This window comes from Homo sapiens, chromosome 3 (genome assembly GCF_000001405.40).
Source record: "Homo sapiens chromosome 3, GRCh38.p14 Primary Assembly".
Classification (NCBI taxonomy): Eukaryota; Metazoa; Chordata; class Mammalia; order Primates; family Hominidae; genus Homo; species Homo sapiens.
This window is the reverse complement of record NC_000003.12, coordinates 186,841,466-186,861,798: the sequence shown is the minus strand read 5'-3', so window position 1 is coordinate 186,861,798 and position 20,333 is coordinate 186,841,466. Positions and strand designations below refer to the sequence as shown.

Below are 20,333 nucleotides of genomic sequence, written 5' to 3'. Positions count from 1 at the left end.
TTTGCTATATATATGTATATATATACCAAAATTTAGAAAAACCCACAAAACTCTCCATGAATTCCTGTTTTTGGAAGACTGTGATAAGAACATGAATAAAATAAAACAAGAGGAAGTTCAAAGATAAGAGGACAAATCAACGGAATTTCCCAGAACATTGTTAAAGTTAGAATGGTGAAAGCAAGCACCCTTGTTTTGTACCAATTTTAATGGGGATTTATTTAGTGTTTTGCTATTAATTATAATGTTGGATATTATTTACAATTTGTTATTCTTTATCATACCAGGGAAATAACATTCTATCTTTAAGTTATAGTTTTTTTTGTTTGTTTTGTTTTGTTTTGTTTTGAGATGGAGTCTCACTCTGTTGCCCAGGCTGGAGTACAATGGCACTATCTTGTCTCACGGCAACCTCCGCCTCCCAGGTTCCAGTGATTCTCCTGCCTCAGCCTCCTGAGTAGCTGGGATTACAGGCGCCAGCCACCATGCCCGGCTAGTTTTTGTGTTTTTAGTAGAGACGGGATTTCACCATGTTGCCCAGGCTGGTCTCAAACTCCTGATCTCAGGTAATCCATTGGCCTCGGCCTCCCAAAGTGCTGGGATTACAGGCATGAGCCACCGTGCCTGGCCTTAAGTTATAGAATTTTTTAGATAAAGAAAGGTTGAGCATTGACTTAAGCTATTTCAGCTGGCATGAACAAACTATTTTGGAAGGCCCTTATTTTCTAGCACCACACTACAAAGAACCTCAGTGCAGTCCTCAGAACTTGCCCACGTGAAAGATGAGTGAGACATTTCATCATATTTTCTTTAAACAACCGGACTTTCTGCCACATAACAAATTGAATGACTCATTTTACAAAGGCAAGTTCTTCCATTACCGGTATTTACAGGATTGCTAACATTAAGGCTACAGGTTGTATAACTCTATCCCCCAATGTCTTGAAACTATAAAGAAAAAAAGTCCAATGAAATTGGGGTTTATTTTTCATAACAGCATAGCTTTTGGTATCAGGCAGCTCTGGCTATGAATCTTTGCTCTACAATTTACTAGCTGCAGCTTTGAGCCAGTTAATTATCTTCTCTAAGCTTCAGTTTTCTTATCTAACAATGGGGTCAATGATATTTAATGTACAAGATGTTGTAAAGAGTAAATAAAATAATGTATTTCAAGCAGCTACTTCAAAATGATAATTATATTATTATTTCTATTTTTAAGATTATGATGTACCCAGTATAAAATAGACAATAAATATTTACTGAATAAATCAATGATCTTTGTAAAGAATTCAAAGATGAAATACAAAGTCTCTGTCCACAAGGGATTTCTAAGCTAGGAGGTTAATTGCTAATAAAATACATGTAAGTGAAGCTAGGGTTTTAGGTGTAATCTTATGGGTGCCTAATGACTTGACTCTATTATCCTGTTGCCAAGTTTTCTTCCTAACTGAGCCTGAGCTTGGTGCCTGGGCACAGTCACAGTTTAATTTCCAACCCTGTGTACTTTTTATTTTTATTTACTTGTTTTTTTGAGGCAGAGTCTTTCTCTGTTGCCCAGGCCGAAGTGCAGTGGCACTATCTTGGCTCACTGCAACTTCTGTCTCCCAGGTCAAGTGATTCTCCTGCCTCAGCCTCTCAAGTAGCTGGGATTACAGGTGCACGCCACCACAACCAGCTGATTTTTGTATTTTTAGTTTCACCATGTTGGTCAGGCAGGTCTCGAACTCCTGACCTCAAGTGATCTGCCCACCTTGGTCTCCCAAAGTGCTGGGATTACAGGCATGAGCCACTGCGCTCAGCCCCCTGTGTACTTTCTAGATGTACATAAAATAAATACAAGCTAACTCACATTAAAAGGAGAGATGGCATAAAAATACAGGAACTGGTGTCTTACGGCCCCCGTGGGTTGGGATATAGTTAAATCTCAGGAAGGACTGAACCAAAAAGTAGAAAGCATCCAAGATCTCTCTCTCTCTCTCTCTCTCTCTGACTTTCAATTCTGTTTCTCTCAAAGCCTCTACCTTTCTCACAGCTGGGCCTCTTCTTGTTCTACACTGCAGGGCAGAAGGACCCATGAGTCCTGAATCTGCATGTTTTACATCCATCCTAATTCGTATTCCTGGAGGAATCTGGTCGGCCCAGTATCTTAGCCCATTTTGTGCTGCTATAGCAGAATACCACAGACTGGGCAATTTATAAAGAACAGAAATTTGTTGGCTCACAGTTCTGAGGGTGAGAAAATCCAGTGGCTCAGACCTATAATCTCAGCACTTTGGGAAGCCAAGGCAGGAGGATTACTTGAGCCCAGAAGTTTGAGACCAGCCTGGGCAACATAGCAACACTCAAATCTCAAAAATAAAAATAAAAAATGTCTGCAGAAAATGTCCTAAATTTGCTGAAAGACCTATATTTATAGATTCAAGAAGTTTAATGAACCCTAAAATGGGTGAAAGTTGAAAACACCCAGACACATCATAATCAAACTATTGAAAATCAGAGGTAAAGAAAGCATCTTGAAAGCAGCTGGAAGAAAAAATTATAAATTACACATAAGGGAAAACTATGACTGCAGGTTTCTCATCTGAAACCATAGAGCCTTTGAGATAAAGAGAAAAAAAAATATATATATATATACACACACACCATGGGTCCCAGAAGACAGAAACATCTTTAATGCACTGAAAAAAATAAACTAAATAAAATAAAATGCTAGAAGAAAGAACTGTCAACTGAGAATTCTATATCCAGTAAAAATATATTTCAGGAATGTAGAAAAGATGAAGGCATTCTCAGATGAAGAAAAACTAAGAGAATTCATCATCAACAGACTTGCTTTAAAATAAATGCTCAATAAAGTTTTTCAGGTTGAGGAGAAATTACACCAGAGAGAAACACAGAACATTAGAAATTAATAAAGAACAAAGGAAATGATGAATATCTGAATATGTATTTTTCTCCTCTTAAATTCTTTAAAATATATATATGACTGACGAATGCAAAAATCATAACATTGCCTATAATGTTTCAGTGTATATAGATGTAATATATATGACAACTACAACATAAAAGAAAGTGGATAGAGGTACTAATATGATTATAAGCCTTCTACGGTTTACTGCAAGTGGCAAAATATTAACTTTATGCACACTGTGAAAAGTTAAGTACATTGTAATCCCTCAAGCAACCACTAAAAAATACCACAAAGAGATATAGGCAAATACCCAATAAATAAATTAAGATAAAATATTATGAAATATTTAAACAATCCAAAAGAATTCTGGAAAGAGAATAAAACAGAAGTGGTGAACAGCAAACAAATAAAACAGTCATCCATCTTAAATTCAACAATTTTATTAAATATAAATTGTCTAAACACCAATTAAAAGACAGATATTTTTAGACTGGATAAAAATTATACCCAACTACATGCAGTCTGTAAGAAACACATTTTAAATACAATAATATAGATATATTTAAAGTAACATGATGGAAAAAGATATACCACAAAAACACTAATCAAAAGAAAGTTGACCAGGTGTGATGGCTCATGCCTGTAATCCCAGCACTTTGGGAGGCCGAGGCGGGTGGATCACAAAGTCAGGAGTTTGAAACCAACCTGACGAATGTGGTGAAACCCCGTCTCTACGAAAAATACAAAAATTAGCTGGGCGCAGTGGCATGAGCCTGTAGTTCCAGCTACTTGGGAGGCTGAGGCAGGAGAATTGCTCATGGTAGAGGTAGCAGTGAGCCAAGATCACACCACTGAACTCCAGCCAGGGCCACAGAACGAGAGTCTGTCAAAAAAAGAGAGAGAGAGAGAGAGAGAAAGAAAAGGAGGAAGGAAGGAAGGAAAGAGAGAGAGAGAGAAAGAAAGGAAGGAAGAAAGAAAGGAAGGAAGAAAGAAAAGGAAGTTGAGTGCGTATGTTATTTTTAGACAAAGTAGACTTCAGAACACAGAAAATTATCACAGATAAAGAAGGACATTACATAATGATAAGAGAGTAAATGCACCAATAAGACATAATACTAAACATGTATATATCTAATAATAGAGCGCTAAAATATATGAAGCAAAAGCTGACAGAACTAAAGAGAATTGGACAAATCCACAATTGTACTTCAAAGCATCACAGGACCATTAATCCTGAAATCTTGACCTCAGTTTCTCTCAGGCCTCTTTTGGCCTCAGTTGACTCTCTCTGTGCCTCTGGTTCCACAAAGGAATAACCCTGCCCCAGAGAGTTTAGGGTAACTGTGAAAGCGTGTTCTGTAAGGAGCCCACCCCAACCAGATGTGAGACTGTGAGCATAGCCAGACTTTAGCTACTTGTTGAAATTTTAGAGAAAATCAATAGGAATTTTCCAGCTATGTCTCTCTGGGAAACTCATGAAAGCTCAAACACAGCATTAAGAGTTTGTTGTGGACAGGTATTATTTTGCATCTATCATCCACTCTCCTATTTCTGATAACAGTGTCCCAATTTTGCTTTAGGGAAAATACCTCTACATACCCCTAACTTAAGCTGCAATTAAGTCAATATGAATATTTCATCCTCCTGACTCAGTGATTGGTCAGAAACAGGCACACAACTCAGCCAGAGCAATGAGATGCAAGGTTACACTTGCTGGGGCATCTGGGAAAGAGAGCTTCCTCTCTCCTCTTTGGGCATCACCAGAAAACATGATGTCCATTTAGCCAGATGGTGTGGCTTGGGGATACGAGAGCTGGGCAGGCCACAGTCTTTTTGATATCGGGAGGGAAACCCTAGAACTATACTGTGTAGCACCTGAGGGTAAAGCCTACACTGCGGAAGGCAGAACAGAAGGACATACAGAAAAGGGTCTTGATTGTTTTGAGCTTTGGTTCAAACCTTATCTAAAGACAGAACAACTCTGGTAATTTCTATTATGCAAAGGAATAAATGTTTCCATTTTTCCTTTATTTTTCTTGCTTACAGTAGTTTGCATAATATTTTGGGTTTTCTGTTGTGAATGACATTCACAACACAGAGTTCTGACTAACACAAGGCTTACTCTCACCTCTTCATCCCTCTCTAAACCTCATATCTATCTTTCTCAAAAAATAACAACAAAAATGGAGGCGGGCAGATCACAAGGTCAGGAGTTCGAGACCAGCCTGGCCAATATGGTGAAACCCTGTCTTTACTAAAAATACAAAAATTAGCCTGGCATGGTGGTAGGCACCTGTGGTCCCAGCTACTCGGGAGGCTGAGGCAGAAGAATCGCTTGAACCTGGGAGGCAAAGGTTGCAGTAAGCCGAGATCATGCCACTGCACTCTAGCCTGGCAACAGAGGGAAACTCCATCTTAAAAACAACAACAACAACAAAAAGACAAAGCTTTATATGTGGAAAAAATAATACCTTAATGATTAGCAATACACATATAAGAGAGAATTGTTCAGAATTTAAAACTGTAAGCAAAAAGATAGTTTTTTAAATTTATATATTGATAGAGAATGCTATTTACTCTGTTTTTGCTAAAATCTTTGAAGAACATCACTGGAGTTATTGTCTCCTGAGAGAATGTTTACCACCATCAACTACCTCAACCTGTAATTCTTAAAGAACAATAATAAATTCAGGAGGCCCAGTCTTCCCTGACCCTGTTGGTACTCAAGGAGACAATGGCTTCAGAATTCCTCCATGGGTTTTGCATTTCAGGCTCAAGCTACCTTCTTGATGAAAAATTCTGGACGTGTTCTGAAAATCACAGTCATCCCTAACTTCAGTGGAAAAGATTCATATTGTCCAGCTGAACAAGGATTGATACTTAAAACCAGGGATTTCCTAAAATGAAAATGTTTCTGTGGATAAAACTGATTACATGCAGAGACTGGAATGGAGTTAATTCTGGGTAGATATGGGATTCAAGAGATTGGTCTTCATGAGGCATTTATCAAGGATCTGCAAGGGATTTAGAGGTGACGGAAGCACAGTCCTTCCTGGGCAGTTGCCTCTAGCCTGGTGGGAGGTGTTCCTCACACCCAGGACTCTCATCCATGGCAAAATAAAAAGTGAGATATCGACTGGGCATGGTGGCTCATGCCTGTAATCCCAGCACTTTGGGAGGTCGAGGCGGGTGGATCACCTAGGCCAGGAGTTCGAGACCAGCCTGGCCAACATGACGAAACCCCATTTCTACTAAAAATACAAAAATTAGCCATGTGTGGTGGAATGCACCTGAAGTCTCAGCTACTCGGGAGGCTGAGGCACAATAATTGCTTGGACCCAGGAGAAGGAGGCTGCAGTGAGCCGAGGTCGTGTCACTGTACTCCAGCCTGGGTGACAGAGTGAGACTCCATCTCAAAAAAAAAAAAAGTGGATATCACATCAGAGAAGCTCCTGGCCAGGTGGCCTTGAGGAACAGGGATGAGTTCGGCACTTAGAGATGGAGTTGGCTTTCCCCGTTGGAGGGAAAGGCATGAGAAGGGACATAGGTAAGAGGAAGTAGAGTAGTGCAGGGGCCATTGAGTAGTAGTCCTTCCAAGACAGGACGTCATCATAGAACCACTTTCTCTGAGGAAGCTCTGCTTGGGGGAGGTTTTAATTCATGAGGAAGGCAAATTCAATGGCTCTCAGGTGAGGTGGGAAACAGACACCTACCAACACTCCAAAGAGAACATGTACCTCTATAAAAGGGCACAGTCTAGTGAACAAAGTCCACAGCTCTGGGTTTGATTTCTAGCACTGTCACTTAATACTGTGTGACCTTAGACATTCACTTAACTCTCTCAGCCTCAGGATACAATCTGTAAAAACAGGAGAATGCTTGTTCCCTGTGCCTTATAGGATTGATATGAGCATCAGGAGAGACAGTGGGCACAAAATAGCACTGTCAACTACTTCTTTCTAGTCAGTTATCTGGTCATGTTTGTGAAGCTCCCCAGGACTGGGAACATAGCATATGATTTTTTTAAAGTTACTCGATGAATGAATGAATAAATGAATGAGTAAATGAATGAATAATATCTAAAGGCCTCCAACTAAATAATAATCAACTTCCTAACCGTACTGAAAGCCTTTAATTGACTTTGGGGCTGTTTGGCCTGGAGGAGGCTCTGAGTTAGTGGTGATCAGTTGGTGTCATGGTAGAGAAGAAAGCCTGTGAAGGTGGAGTCATTGTCATTATCAGCATAGAGTCCATTACGCTCTCCTTCCCCATACACCTGGAGCCAGACTTGGTCGCCCACCTCCAGATGCAGGAGCACAGAGCCGGAGGCCTGGTCCACATTATTTTCCTGGTACTGATCATAGGTGAAGAGCATAGCCTTGTCCTTCTTGAAGAGGCTGACCTTCACATCCTTCATATAGACTGTGATGTGGTAGGCAAAGTAGTACAGCCCAGGAATGTTGCAGTGGAATTTACCAGTGGAGCCATCATAGTGGTTTTGCTGATTGTAGAAGATCTTGGTAAAGCGAATGGGCATGTTGGGGATAGTAACGTAAGTCTCCAATCCCACACTGAATGCTGAGCGGTATACATAGGCACCTTCTCCAGGTTCTCCTTTCCTGCCTTGGATTCCCGGAAAGCCTCGGGGACCTTCAGCCCCGGGTACTCCGGTTTCACCGATGTCTCCCTTAGGACCAATAAGACCTAAGGAATGAGAAGACCTCAGTGACTACAAAGAACAGAACTCCTGCCTAGGTTGGTTACAGCCTAAATTACCATCCCTGTGGCTCCCACTCACAACCTTCTTGACTTATAGATCAAGAAACCAATAAGAGCTCCCAAAAGGAGAGAGGTGTTACCTCCTCCTTCTATATCTCCCACAGACATGGAGGCTCCCATAATTTCAACTCTATCTTTATCTCCTATAGGTCTCTATCATAGACCCTCCACCCTGCCAGCCCTTTATGTGCTGGCACCATCAACCCTGGTTTTGCAATTCTACCCCCTCCATCTAGGATGTCTCTCCTCCTCTATTCTGCCTACCCATCATTCAAGGCCTAGCTGAAGCTCTGCCTCCTCCTTGAAGCCTTCATTCTTCATCAGGTCCACGGTGAGTATATTTTCTCTATGCTCCATACTTTGAATACTTGTTCACATTCAGTTTGACATTTTTAGAGTAGACTTTCTTGTAGTAACCACCAACAGAGCCTTGCACATTAGACATCTTACCTAGATCAAGAGTTCCCCAAAGGCAGGACTGAGCCTTTCAGGGGGTGTGCAGTAAATGTGGTTGAATGCCACTGGGTGAAATGGAAGTTAAGCAGACAGAAAGAGGAATCAGAATATGAATGTACTGGGAATAGGGATGAGGGTGAAGATGGGAAAGGGGATGGAAAAGGAGCTGCAGATGCAGCAAAGCCAAAGTCTTGGTTATAGAGGCACCATCTACACTCATCCTTGGAAGACCAACCCCAAATCACTTCAGGTTGCTTATGGTTAACATAAAAAAGCTTTGCTTTCTCCCTGTGTCTAGGCCTTAGTTAATAATGAATGCCTTCATATAGTTTATATCAGTGTAGGAGGTCTGTGATGAAAGAGGCCAGAAACATTCTTACCTGGATCTCCTTTCTCACCCTTCTCACCAGGGGTGCCATCTCTGCCATCACGGCCTGGGGCCCCATTATGGCCCGGATGCCCTGGGATGCCCGCCATCCAACCTGTGCAGGCCCCCTTGGGCAGGGGAAGCAGGACTCCGGGCCCTTGAGTCGTGGTTTCCTGGTCATGACCGGGCAGAGCTAATAGCAGTAGAACAGCTCCCAGCAACAGCATCCTGAGCCCTGGAATCCACATGTGCACTGTCAGCCATGGAGAGACAGACCCCACACACACACCCAGTTGGGACCTACAAAGGACTCCGTCCATCTCAGCAGAGTCTACTTCTAGGAGCTGCTTTCTAAGTATTCAACTTTTCCAGGAAGACTTTTCTGAATATTGCAGCCCACCTTGATCTCTTTCTGCCCTGAAATCTGTAATACTTAGCATTATTCCCTGTGTGTAGTCTCCTTTCCTCACCAAGATTATGAATTCAGTGATTGCACAGATGACACTCCTCTAATTTTCCCATGTCTGAGCACAGGACCAAGCACAGGGAAAGCTCCAAGAGTCGACTTGCCAAGAATCCATCCTTGGGTTTCCCAAGTACGATGACACAGATTGCTCCATTCAATGCTAACCAGCTTCTCTCCTCTGGCTCCTTTCTTCTTTTTCTTTCCCCCCTTCTCTCTCATTTTCTGTGTCTATTCCTCCTTCTTACTCTCTCATTCTCTTTCTTCCTCTACCCCTCTCCTGGGGCACATGTTTGACTATTGGGTATATTACATTTGCACACATGCACACACACAAACACACACAGAGAAAAAGAGAGAGAGAGGGAGGGAGAGACTCACCTTGTGTTAAGCAGACAACGAGAGACACATCATCCCATGAACATATCCCCTGGCCCTTTGTTTGCCTGAGCCATCTTTAGCTGCCCCTCCTCCCCTGTCTAATCTCTATTCAGCTTTCAGGACCCAGTTTGGATGTCATCTGTTTCAAGAAGTCCTCCTTGTTCTCCATCTCACTCCTTGGCTGGTTCTTTCCCCTCTGTGTTTCTCCAGTGCCCTGGTAATATGGTTTGGGTCTGTGTCCCCACCCAAATAGCACGTCGACATGTGTTGGAGAAGGGGCCTGGTAGGAGGTGACTGAATCATGGAGGCAGACTTATCCCTTGCTGTTCTCATGATAGTAGGTGAATTCTCACAAGATCTGGTTGAAAGTGTGTAGCACTTCCCCTATATTCTCTCTCTCTCTCTTTCTCTCTCTCTCTCCTGCTGCTGTGTGATGTGCTTGCTTCCCCTTCGCTCTTTCTTCCACCATGATTGTAAGTTTTCTGAGGCCTCCCCAGCCATGCTTCCTGTACAGCCTGTGGAACTGTGAGTCAATTAAACCTCTTTTCTTTATAAATTACCCAGTCTCAAGTAGTTTTTTACAGCAGTGTGAGAATGGATTTATACACCTGGCTTAGCTCTATCATTGCACTCTGCTGTAATTTCTGTTTTGCTCACCCATTTCTCCATTAAACAGCAAGTACCAGGGGACAAAGACTAACACACTAATAGCAGAGTAGGGACTAAATAAGCACTTTTATAATGAGGAAAAGAAATCATGAGAGAGCCAGAGAAAGGAAGGGAAGGAGGAAGGAAAAGAAGAAAGGAAGATAAAAAGGAAGAGTGGAAGAGGGAAGGAAGGAGGGAGGGGGAATGTATTTGAAATATGTATTCTGGAGCCCTAGCAAAGAGCTCAAGTGGCACAGGTAGTCAAAAGCCTCCCTGTCTCAAAATCATTCTTTGATATCCCCCTCCCAGAAAAGGGCCCAATACAGGTATAGGGACTTTTATCCCCTCTCAGATTCTGCCTCCGATCTTAGGGGGATCTTAGGCCTCCACCTCAGATTGCTGAGGTCTTAGTCTTCCCACTCTCACCAAGGAGTTGGGAGAAAGCATCTCACAGAGAGAAATAGGTCCTAGGATCCTGGATTAGAGGCATCACTAAGACCCTCTGTGGGTTAATGTGGTTAATCCCAAGAATCTGATTCTAAACAAAGTGTAGTCCATGTACTTTATTTTACCTTAAAAATTCACTATTTTTCATCAGTTTGCTTGTCTCTTCTAGATTATATGAAGTCTCCAGAATTAGGTTTGTCTTCAGGACAACTGAAGGTTTGTTGAAGACAAACCTACTCCTCTGTGAGGGATGGAAGAAAGACCGTGATTGGCAATCTCACCCCAAAAACATGGGCCTGGTATCTGGAATCCCACTCCTATGCCCCATTACCTGGGGTTCTATACTACCCTCTTCACGTGGCACATCCAACTCATCTTTCATCTTTATCATATATATGAGATAAATTTTGTATATACATATAAACTATATGTATATATTACATATATAGTTCATTAAAAATAATAGTTATATAGTTCTTTGGACATGACAGAAAAGAAAACAATACTCAACTCCAAGAATGTCTCTGTTTATTTTTAAACATAGTGGAATCATACTTTATGTAAAACTTTATTCCTTTATTTTGTCTTTGGCATTTTCTAGTTTTTATAATGACTATTTTTAACGTCTCAGAGTGAGTGCTAGTCTAGTAAGTGGATATAATCAATATATATTTGACCATTTATATTTCATCAAACTTTTAGCATATTTTCATTTTAAAATATTATTTTATATTCTGTAAGAAATTATACTTTGATTTTTAAATAATATTTTAAATATCCTTAGGCATGTAGCTTTCCCCAAGATTATTATTCTGTTATGACAGATTCCCAGAAGTAAATTACTGGACCAAAAGGTATGCACATTTTTAAGTCTCCTGATACATATCCCCACATGGCAGCATATGTTATACTGCCAACCAGTAGTACATCATTAGTGTGTGTATAAAAGGGCATACCTTAACTACCCTCATCAGCTTTGGGTATTATAAAAAACATTTGTGTGTTGTCAGTTTAGTGAGCAAAGGAAATAATGGTACCTCACTGCTCTAGTTTGCTTTTTTTTTTTTTTTTTTTTGAGAGAGAGGATTTCACACTGTCACCCAGGCTGTAGTGCAGTGGCACAATCTCGGCTCACTACAGCCTCCACCTCCCAGGTTCAAGCGATTCTCATGCCTTAGCCTCCCAAGTAGCTGAGATTACAGGCATGCACCACCACACGCAGCTAATTTTTGCATTTTTTAGTAGAGACGGGGTTTCACCATGTTGGCCAGGCTAGTCTCAAACTCCTGACCTCAGGTGATCCGCCCGCCTTGGGCTCCCAAAGTCCTGGGATTAAAAGCATGAGCCACCACGCCCAGTCCTTGCCTCTAAGTGTTAAACAGTTCTTATTCATGCTAAGATTTAGTAAGTATTCAATTTTCTTCTGTTTTTTTCTATTGTTTGATATAGTTAAAATTTCACTTTTTAATGTAGCTCTGATTTTTTGTTTTGATGTAAGCTGTGACCTAAGGTACTCAAATGATTTCTCCCCACTTGAAGACTAGCTGTTACAACACCTTTAATTGCATTAATTTTTTCTCTCACTATAGATCTGATGCATCATTTATCAAATATCAGGTTCTAATATGATCTTATAAGTAAAGTAACCATTGATAATGAAATGGCAGACAGAGAGAAGAGAGACAGAAACAGCAACAGAAACAGGTGCAATCAGACTCAGGTGCTGCCCCTTTAGGTGTCATGAGTCTTTATTTAAGACCCACTACCATCATTTATATGTACATTTGTCGCCCTCTACTGAATTTGAAGAATTCAGGAGAGTGTTCTCAATAGCTTCTGGAAATAAAATGAGAAACAGCTTAGGTTTGACTAGTCTCAAGATAAGAAAAAAGAGGTGAGCTACATGAGAAGCCAAGGGGAGACCAGCAAAGCCCCTTTTGCATTTTAGGAGAATTCTTGTTCTGAGACTTTACAGATTTCATGCATCTTTAAACTTCCTCACTGCTTGTCACCTCCACCCTTTCTTATTATGGCTTTGGCAATAAAACTCCTGAGAAGAACTTTGAGCTCCATGCATGTTTTTCTCCAGAAATGGGAAGAATCTGTGAGGCTCCATCCTTTTCTGCTGGGAAACAGGAGGAGAGAATCCAGAATATGTGAAAGCCCCAGAGATAAAGGGTGACGGGGGGCTTACCCCAAACCTTGGAGAGAGGGCAAACTCAGGGGTCTCTGGAGTTTTCTGGCTCCTCCCCCTTTGTCAAAAATAAAGATCTCTTTCTCCTACCCTAAGGGAACACTGTTTGTCCCCAAACTTCAGTATTATGGACAGATTTCTCCACTAATAGGTGCGATCAGCCTGGGTTCCATGACAGTGGCACGGGGTAGAGGTGCCAAAAATACAAGAGTGTGATTAGCACAGGAGCCTCAGAAGTTTCCAAGACCAAGAACGGACTCTGATTGTAAAAGAAAGTTGCATTCCAACTTAATTCTGGGTGGGAAACCAGCAATTAATAACAATTGAAGGTCAGTGCAAACGTGCCTAATTTTCAAAAAAATTTTCAAAATTATTTGTGTTCTTTTTTATTTTACTTATTTATTTATCTGGAGATGGAGTCTTGCTCTGTCGCTAGCATCTTGCGCTCTCCAAGTCTCAGGAGACACATTAGAGTCAAAAGCAGGGCTTTGGGAAGATTAGGTAAAATAAGTTTTGAAAATGCCACATGAAAATGATACTCCAAGGAACCCTCACCCATGTCAGCGTTCTCATGTTCCTCATCTCACATAATCCCGTTTAGCGGATTAGGAAGCTGAGTCTGAGAAGCTCCGTGTCATGCTTTCGGAGGCACCGTGATGCGATGGAAAGCTCACCGATTTGGAAGTCAGAACAGAGTCTCTCAGGGATCGTTTCCTTAATCTCTCAGTTTCCTCATCTCTAAAGTGGGGGTCATATATATAAAACGACAAACATATAAAAATACCTATTTTTTTAGATATTGCCATTGTTACACTTTGCTTGTTACCCTTCCTTCCTTCCTTCCTTCTTTCCTTCCTTCCTTCTTTCCTTCCTTCCTTCTTTCCTTCCTTCCTTCCTTCCTTCTTTCCTTCCTTCCTTCCTTCTTTCCTTCCTTCCTTCCTTCCTTCCTTCTTTTCTCTCTCTCTTTTTTTTTTGTTTCTGAAGTGGAGTCTCGCTTTGTGGCCCAGGCTGGAGTGCAATGGCACCATCTTGGCTCACTGCAACCTCCGCCTCCTGGGTTCAACTGATGCTCCTGCCTCACCCTCCCAAGTAGCTGGGATCACAGGAATCCACGACCACACCTGGCTAATTTTTTGTATTTTTAGTAGAGATGGGATTTCACCATGTTGGCCGGGCTGGTCTCAAACTCCTGACCTCAAGTGATCCGCCCGCCTCGGCCTCCCAAAGTGCTGGGATTACAGGCATGAGCCACTGCGCCCGGCCTGTTACACTGTATTTCTATCAGAAAAAAATTATTACTAAGTAATAGTGAGTACTATGATCTAAAACTCAATTATGCCTAAAAAGAAAACTTTTACAAGGATCAACAAGCTAAATCTCAAGTGTCACAATTCTTTGCCTTTGTAAAATGCTATTTGTTGTGTCCCTGTGGGCTTAGCATGGCACTAAAAGTTCCTAAGTCTCAACTCTGGTTATGTGTCATTTAGTGACTCAGGAATCTGCTTAATTGTTTTTGGTCACAAAGCTTTTGGCAACGAAGGAGTGATGAAGCTAAGCGCACCCTTGAAGTGTCATAAAAAAAAATGAGGTAGTATGATCAGCTGTACAGTTAGAGCAATAAAAAGTCCAGGCAGACCTTCTGATTCACCATAATCAATTTAAGATTTCTTAATGTTTCTTTCCTGGCAGCATACAAAAAGGCAAAATTAATAAATAACATAGTTGTTGTATAACAAATTTTGTTACTTTTTATAAAACAAAGGGATCTATTTTATCTGTATTAAAATTAAAAATTTTGTGGACTTTAAAAAATTTTTAAAATGCTATTTATAAAACCCTTTTCTCACCTAGTGTCTCATTCGATTCTCACAATCATTTTGAGAGACAGGATAGGGTAGAATAGGGAGCACGGGCTCTACGGTCTTGGTGCTTAGGCACAAATCATTTGTTCTGACCTGTAATGCGTTTCAGTGTTCTGTTTGTTGGAAGATCAAATGGTGTAGTCTGTGTAAAATGCTTAGAATGGTGTCTGGCACATGTCAGTGCTCAGTAAATGTTAGTGATGAGTGTATGCATTTTAGAGATGAGGAAAGGGGACTTCAGAAAGGTTAAGTGGCTTTCCAAGATCCCAGAGCTACACAGAGAGGAGTCGGAAATTAAACTCTGATCTTCAGAACCCAATAACAGACTCTTAGACATAGTCCAGGAGGAGAAAAGTATCGTGGTCACACATCCTGCCTTTCAATATGCCACCCCATGGGGTGAGGGATACAAGAAAAAAGTAGCATAAAAAGACTTCCACTGTAATCCCAGCACTGGCTTTCCTGGCAAACCTCGCACAGGCATGGATTCATCTGCTTTTAAAATTATACCAGGGGATGACCGTGATGTTCTCAGGATCCTAAAGGGCCATACTGTGATCATTTATCTTCATGTTAAAGTGTATGAGAAATTTCACTTTGACCTACTGGAATTTCAGTTGCAACAGCAGAATCCTGTGAAATGCAAGGACAGGGTCCCCTCTGGGACTGGCAGGAGGCAGAGCCGTGTGGGGGAAAGAGATCACCAAACCTGGTGCCAACTCTTCCAGCAGAAAAGGGCATTAAAGCACACAAAATTGGCCAGGCACGGTAGCTCACACCTGTCATCTCAGCACTTTGGGAGGCTGAGATGGGTGGGTCACATGAAGTCAGGAGTTCAAGACCAGCCTGGCCAATATGGCAAAACCCCGTCTCTACTGAAAATACAAAAAAATTAGCTGGGGGTGGTGGTGCCTGCCTGTAATCCCAGGTACTCAGGAGGCTGAGACATAAGAATTGCTTGAGCCTGGGAGGCGGAATTTGCATTGAGCTGCACTCCAACCTGGGTGACAGAGCAAGACTCTGTCTCAAAAAAAAAAAAGTATACAAAATCCTCAAATGTCAGAGCCAAAAGGAGCCCCAGAAATCACCTCACCCCTGCCTTGCTTTTACAAATGGGAAGGCTGAGGGGAAGGAGTAGGAATGCACTTATTAGAACCTTATAGAAGCCAGTTCCCATGCTAGATTTTACACGTTATTTATCTTCATCTTTACAATAACTCCATGAAGGAAGGAAATGAGCCCAACTTCAGAGATGAGGAAACTGACAGATTAAGGAGATGATCCCTCAGAGACTCTGTTCTGACTTCCTAACGAGTGAGCCTTCCATCACATCACGGTGCCTCCGAAAAAGCACTACACGGAGCTTCTCAGACTCAGCTTCCTAATCCGCGAAATGTGATCATGTGAGATGAGGAACATGAGAACACTGACACTGGCGCGAGTTCTTTGGAGTGTAATTTTCATAAGGCATTTTCAAAATTTATTTTACTTAATCTTCCCATAGCCCTGCTTTTGACTCTAACGTGTAGGAGAACCTGAGACTTGGAGAGGGAACGATGCTAGCTAATTCAACCACTGGATTGAATTATATCAAACTCCCATTTTTAAAAGTCAAAATGGGCCGGGCGCAGTGGCTCATGCCTGTAATCCCAGCACTTTGGGAGGCTGAGGTGGGTGGATTACCTGATGTCAGGAGTTTCAGACCAGCCTGGACAACATGGTGAAATCCCGTCTCTACCAAAAATACAAAAATTAGTCAGGCGTGGTAGCGGGCACCTGTAATTCCAGCTACTTGGGAGGCTGAGGCAGGAGAATCACTTGAATCCATGAGGCAGAGGTTGCAGTGAGCTGAGATCGCGCCACTGCACTCCAGCCTAGGTGACAAGTGTGAAACTCTGTCTCAAAAAAAATAAAAATAAAAATAAATAAAAGTCAAAGTGTAGAATATTGGCAGTTTCACACGGTGCAACCCAATAATAAATGGCATAACCAGGAATCAACTCAGCTTTGCCTAGCTCCCAGGAGCTTTGCCCGAAAGCCTTCACTCAGCCCTGGGAGAGCTGTCAATATCTCCATGCCCAACACACACACATACCCGCACCCATACACACACCTCCACCTATGCACGCGCACACCCACACACCACATCCACACATCCACATACGTACGCACCACCCCCCCCCACACATACACACCCATCCAAATGAGTGTGCGCGCGCGCACACACACACTCACACACATACATACTGTCAAGGAACTAATAAAACAGAGCATCCCACGCACCACCACATTTTTAGGATAAGTCTCTCTCCACATGATTGAATTTCTGATTGAAATTCCTGATTGAAAGTATCTCTCCAAAAGACATCACCTCTTGACTTTAGCCGTATGTCTGGGACCACCGGTCCACTGGCTTGACAAGGAGTAGGTGGAAAGTTTGTCCCTACAGCCACCTTAAAAAGAGCAAGCATATAATCCCAGCCTTTTGGGAGGCTGAGGTGGGAGGACTGCTGAGCCCAGGAGTTTGAGGCCCCCCAGCCAATATAGTGAGACCTCATCTCTACAAAAAATTTTTAAAAATTAGCCAGGCATGGTTGCACACACCTGTAGTCCCAGCTACTCAGGAGGCTAAGATGGGAGGGTCACTTGAGCCTGGGAAATCGAGGCTGCAGTGAGCTGTGATTGCACCACTGCACTCCAGCCTGGGTGATAGAGTGAGACCCTGTCCCCAAAAAAGACAAGGAGCCAGTCTTGTGTCTATTTTTTTTTTTTTTTTTTTGAGATGGAGTTTTGCTTTTTTTGCCCAGGCTGGAGTGCAATGCTGTGATCTCAGCTTAAGACTCCTCGGCCAGGCGCAGTGGCTCACACCTGTAATACCAGCACTTTGGGAGGCCGAGGCAGGTGGAATATGAGGTCAAGAGATCGAGACCATCCTGGCCAATATGGTGAACCCCATCTCTACTAAAAATATAAAAATTAGCTGGGCGTGGTGGCGCATGCCTGTAGTCTCAGCTACTTGGGAGACTGAGGCAGGAGAATCGCTTGAACCTGGGAGGCGGAGGTTGCAGTGAGCTGAGATTGTGCCAAAAAAAGACTCCTCAAGACTTAAGGAAGAGTGGCAGCAGGGACTGCTGAGGAAGCTGCCGGGCTCCCTGTGTACCACTGGCCTTCATGAACAAAGCTGACACCATCATGCTCCTTCGGACATATTCTGCTAGCATAAAGGGACCCCCATCTCCCCAACCGAATTAGGCAGAGCTGGCCTTCCTTCTAGCGGAGTTCCTAGGAGTGAGTTGGTGCCACCCCTTGTGAGGCTTGATCCAAAAACCAGAACCTCTCCAGACCAGGGATCCATGTCCTCTAACACAAGAGGGGCAGACCTAACCTCTAAAATCCCTCCCACTCTAACCTTCAGCATCCACAGCTCAAAACAACCAGGATGCCTCAGAAACAGCACTCACTGGGGCGAGCAGGATTAGGCTTCAGAAAAACCAGGTAGATCCAGTTTCTTCTGTCAGAAAATGTTTTTTTTTAATTACAATTTTTCATAAGTTGCCACTATATGCCAGGCTTTTCTCATTTTATCTCATTAGAGCCTCTTTTTCTTTTCTTTCTTTTTTTTTTTTTTTTGACACAAAGTCTCGCTCTGTCACCCAGGCTGGAATGCAGTGGCAACAATCTCGGCTCACTGCAACCTCTGCCTCCCAGGTTCAGACAATTCTCCTGCCTCAGCCTCCCGAGAAGCTGGGATTACAGGCACCTGCCATCACGCCCAACTAATTTTTGTATTTTTGGTAGAGGCGGGGTTTCACCATGTTGGTCAGGCTAGTCTGGAACTCCTGACCTCAGGTGATCCACCCGCCTCGGTCTCCCAAATTGCTGGGATTACAGGTGTGAGCCACCATGGCTGGCCTCATTAGAACCTCTTGATTACCTTGTAAGATATCCCTATACCTACATATATCCCCAAATCCATAGACAACAACCATGTCACACTCATTGTATCTTGTGAACCCAATCCACTGTCTAGCCCATAGAATTTGCTCAGTAAATATTTGCTGAGTAGAATAAAGTGGCAGAGCTGGATTCCTAATTCCAGTCTGAAGTCAGTGCTCAGCTTGACTTTTCTGAAGCTGCCTTCATATATGCTTCTTCCTTTGCCCTACCTGGTCAAGCTAAGAGGCAATGTATTCCCTTATCCCCCTTAATCGAATTGGACTTCATCTGTGGACAGACCCTTCCACCTTACTGACCCTAACTTTTTCTCAATAGGTATCCTGCTACAGAGCGAACTGGGCAAAATTCAGAATGGTTCCATGCATCTTAGAAGGAATGTCTGAAATAACCCTTTCTCTCTTGGGGCTGTGGGAGAACGGAGGAAGAAGCCCAGTGCATATCTGCCTCCACCAGTGCTGCTCTGACCAGAGTATCCACCTGTATCCACTCCCACACTACTACGGACGGGAGAGCCTGGGTGATCCCAGCCAGAGGCTATGCATGCATCCCCCACCCAGCCTGGAACTTCACAGAATTGCTCTTACCCTCTGGTATGGAATCAGAACCACAGACTGCAGTCAGAATGGAAGTGAGGAGGAGATGGCCCAGCCTCAACAGCCTGGTACTCACGGGGGCAGGCAGTCCCCACCTCACAATTGTCATTTCCCATTGGCCAACTCAGTGAGGGCCAGAGGCCGGTGGGCAGGCACATGTCCCTGGCAGTTGCCCACAGCCTGCACCCTAGGGAACCTGGTACAACCCAGCTTGGGCTTCGGAAGCCAAGTGGAGCTTCAGTCAAAGCACTTGTGTTTCCAGGCCTTGACCCTTATTTTGCCTCCTACAACAGCAACAGAAGATGGGGCAAAAGTCAAAACCACAGCAGGAAAACAAGATTTTTTTCCTGCATCTGACGGAGAAACTTCCTAATGTAAATGAATTAATTGCTCAGTGGTCCAGGAGGTCTCCCCCTCCCATAGATTTGCCCTAATAAGTCAGGGACGCCAATTATCACACCACAGTCTTGCTCACTGTGCATGATTAAGTCTGAGACTGTGTACGTTCAGACAGTGAGTGCTTCAGAAGGGAGCACTGTCAGAGGGGTCTGCAATCAGGTAAGAAATAGAGCACATCCTCCACTCTCTGACCTGGACCCTGGATTTAGGAAAGACCTTGCACATGAATTCTGAGAACTGGGGTGTGGGGAAGTTCCTGGAGTGGTGTGGGGCTTGGCAAGTTAAAAAGGCCCTGAATTCTTAAAGCTTGTGGCCTCGAATCGTAATTTGAATCTAATATAATAGAAAACTTACATAAAATGTGATATTGGAATACCATCTTTCAAGATTTTTTGGTTCCAAAATTTCGGATAACATTTTGACAGCTACCTTGGTATGTGTGTGTGTGTGTTTGTGAGAGAGAGAGAGCCTGTTTTTCCAGTTCCTTAAGCATATATATGCCTATTCTGTCTCTTGTGGAACCCAGCTCTGGCCTAGAAGCAGCCTGGAGAACTGGAAGCTGCCACCCACTTAGGTGTTCCTAGAAAGTTTAGGCTTGAAGTGGCAACATTCAACACCTTGGACTTTCTTGGCACGCTCATGTTTTGTTTTTGAAGGGCAGGATCTGAGCCGGTTCTTGCAAGCCACACATTCTGATGAATTAAATTACGACCCCAGCAAGGGCTTAGGATGCCAGCACCAACTTCAACAAGACATCCAAAACAGAATTTTCTCAGACAGAGGCAGGGCAAGTGTCTGCCTGCCCCCCAGATATCATCTCCACAGTCCACACAGAGCCTAAAAATCTACCAGTAAAGTCAAGTCCACCATTAAAGT

The 20,333-nt window shown here is 42.9% G+C and overlaps 1 protein-coding gene and 1 long non-coding RNA gene across 3 annotated transcripts, besides 17 other annotated features; one reads left to right on the top strand and one right to left on the bottom strand.

Moving 5' to 3' along the window:
• The first annotated feature begins 430 nt into the window (after positions 1 to 430).
• Positions 431 to 9,913, top strand: ADIPOQ-AS1 (ADIPOQ antisense RNA 1). Its single transcript, NR_046662.2, has 4 exons — positions 431 to 566; positions 5,683 to 7,666; positions 7,927 to 8,021; positions 8,557 to 9,913. It is a non-coding gene; the product is annotated as an ADIPOQ antisense RNA 1 (long non-coding RNA).
• Positions 625 to 919: an enhancer, noted in NCBI's record as "tiled region #6282; HepG2 Activating non-DNase unmatched - State 6:EnhF, and K562 Activating DNase unmatched - State 6:EnhF". NCBI's record gives its function as "activates a minimal TATA promoter and a strong SV40 promoter by Sharpr-MPRA in HepG2 and K562 cells {active_cell/tissue: HepG2 | K562}" and the evidence as "EXISTENCE:reporter gene assay evidence [ECO:0000049][PMID:27701403]".
• Positions 3,336 to 19,089, bottom strand: ADIPOQ (adiponectin, C1Q and collagen domain containing). 2 transcript variants are annotated; one of them, NM_001177800.2, is made up of 4 exons: positions 19,050 to 19,089; positions 16,192 to 16,242; positions 8,527 to 8,748; positions 3,336 to 7,615 (listed from the first exon to the last, which is right to left on the bottom strand). In NM_001177800.2, exons 3-4 carry the CDS (start codon positions 8,738 to 8,740, stop codon positions 7,095 to 7,097), a joined length of 735 nt encoding a protein of 244 aa, NP_001171271.1. In that variant the 5' UTR covers positions 8,741 to 8,748; positions 16,192 to 16,242; positions 19,050 to 19,089; the 3' UTR covers positions 3,336 to 7,094. The 2 variants fall into 2 exon arrangements, with proteins under 2 accessions (NP_001171271.1, NP_004788.1); NM_004797.4 differs by lacking the exon at positions 16,192 to 16,242.
• Positions 8,749 to 19,049: an enhancer, noted in NCBI's record as "adiponectin intronic enhancer". NCBI's record gives its function as "enhancer in adipocyte cells" and the evidence as "EXISTENCE:reporter gene assay evidence [ECO:0000049][PMID:15919796]".
• Positions 8,749 to 20,333: part of a biological region, named in NCBI's record as "adiponectin enhancer region", that runs on past the window's edge. NCBI's record gives its function as "regulatory_interactions: ADIPOQ".
• Positions 9,118 to 9,136: a protein binding site, noted in NCBI's record as "9935/9953 nt fragment from PMID:15919796". NCBI's record gives the evidence for it as "EXISTENCE:protein binding evidence [ECO:0000024][PMID:15919796]".
• Positions 11,131 to 11,149: a protein binding site, noted in NCBI's record as "7922/7940 nt fragment from PMID:15919796". NCBI's record gives the evidence for it as "EXISTENCE:protein binding evidence [ECO:0000024][PMID:15919796]".
• Positions 11,181 to 11,199: a protein binding site, noted in NCBI's record as "7872/7890 nt fragment from PMID:15919796". NCBI's record gives the evidence for it as "EXISTENCE:protein binding evidence [ECO:0000024][PMID:15919796]".
• Positions 12,483 to 12,501: a protein binding site, noted in NCBI's record as "6570/6588 nt fragment from PMID:15919796". NCBI's record gives the evidence for it as "EXISTENCE:protein binding evidence [ECO:0000024][PMID:15919796]".
• Positions 13,075 to 15,893: a silencer, noted in NCBI's record as "repressive element; +3175 to +5993 nt fragment from PMID:15919796". NCBI's record gives the evidence for it as "EXISTENCE:reporter gene assay evidence [ECO:0000049][PMID:15919796]".
• Positions 13,140 to 13,158: a protein binding site, noted in NCBI's record as "5913/5931 nt fragment from PMID:15919796". NCBI's record gives the evidence for it as "EXISTENCE:protein binding evidence [ECO:0000024][PMID:15919796]".
• Positions 15,959 to 15,979: a protein binding site, noted in NCBI's record as "3089/3109 nt fragment from PMID:15919796". NCBI's record gives the evidence for it as "EXISTENCE:protein binding evidence [ECO:0000024][PMID:15919796]".
• Positions 15,959 to 16,006: an enhancer, noted in NCBI's record as "core enhancer element". NCBI's record gives its function as "required for full activity of intronic enhancer" and the evidence as "EXISTENCE:reporter gene assay evidence [ECO:0000049][PMID:15919796]".
• Positions 15,980 to 15,992: a protein binding site, noted in NCBI's record as "3076/3096 nt fragment from PMID:15919796". NCBI's record gives the evidence for it as "EXISTENCE:protein binding evidence [ECO:0000024][PMID:15919796]".
• Positions 15,986 to 16,006: a protein binding site, noted in NCBI's record as "3062/3082 nt fragment from PMID:15919796". NCBI's record gives the evidence for it as "EXISTENCE:protein binding evidence [ECO:0000024][PMID:15919796]".
• Positions 19,067 to 19,765: a promoter, noted in NCBI's record as "-676 to +41 nt fragment from PMID:15850785, sufficient for basal transcriptional activity". NCBI's record gives its function as "ADIPOQ, adiponectin, C1Q and collagen domain containing (GeneID:9370) promoter" and the evidence as "EXISTENCE:reporter gene assay evidence [ECO:0000049][PMID:15850785]".
• Positions 19,319 to 19,327: a protein binding site. NCBI's record gives its function as "LRH-responsive element (LRH-RE); required for full adiponectin promoter function" and the evidence as "EXISTENCE:protein binding evidence [ECO:0000024][PMID:12829629]".
• Positions 19,364 to 19,375: a protein binding site. NCBI's record gives its function as "PPAR-responsive element (PPRE); required for full adiponectin promoter function" and the evidence as "EXISTENCE:protein binding evidence [ECO:0000024][PMID:12829629]".
• Positions 19,638 to 19,665: a transcriptional cis regulatory region, noted in NCBI's record as "distal enhancer response element". NCBI's record gives its function as "needed for full activation by distal enhancer" and the evidence as "EXISTENCE:reporter gene assay evidence [ECO:0000049][PMID:18931025]".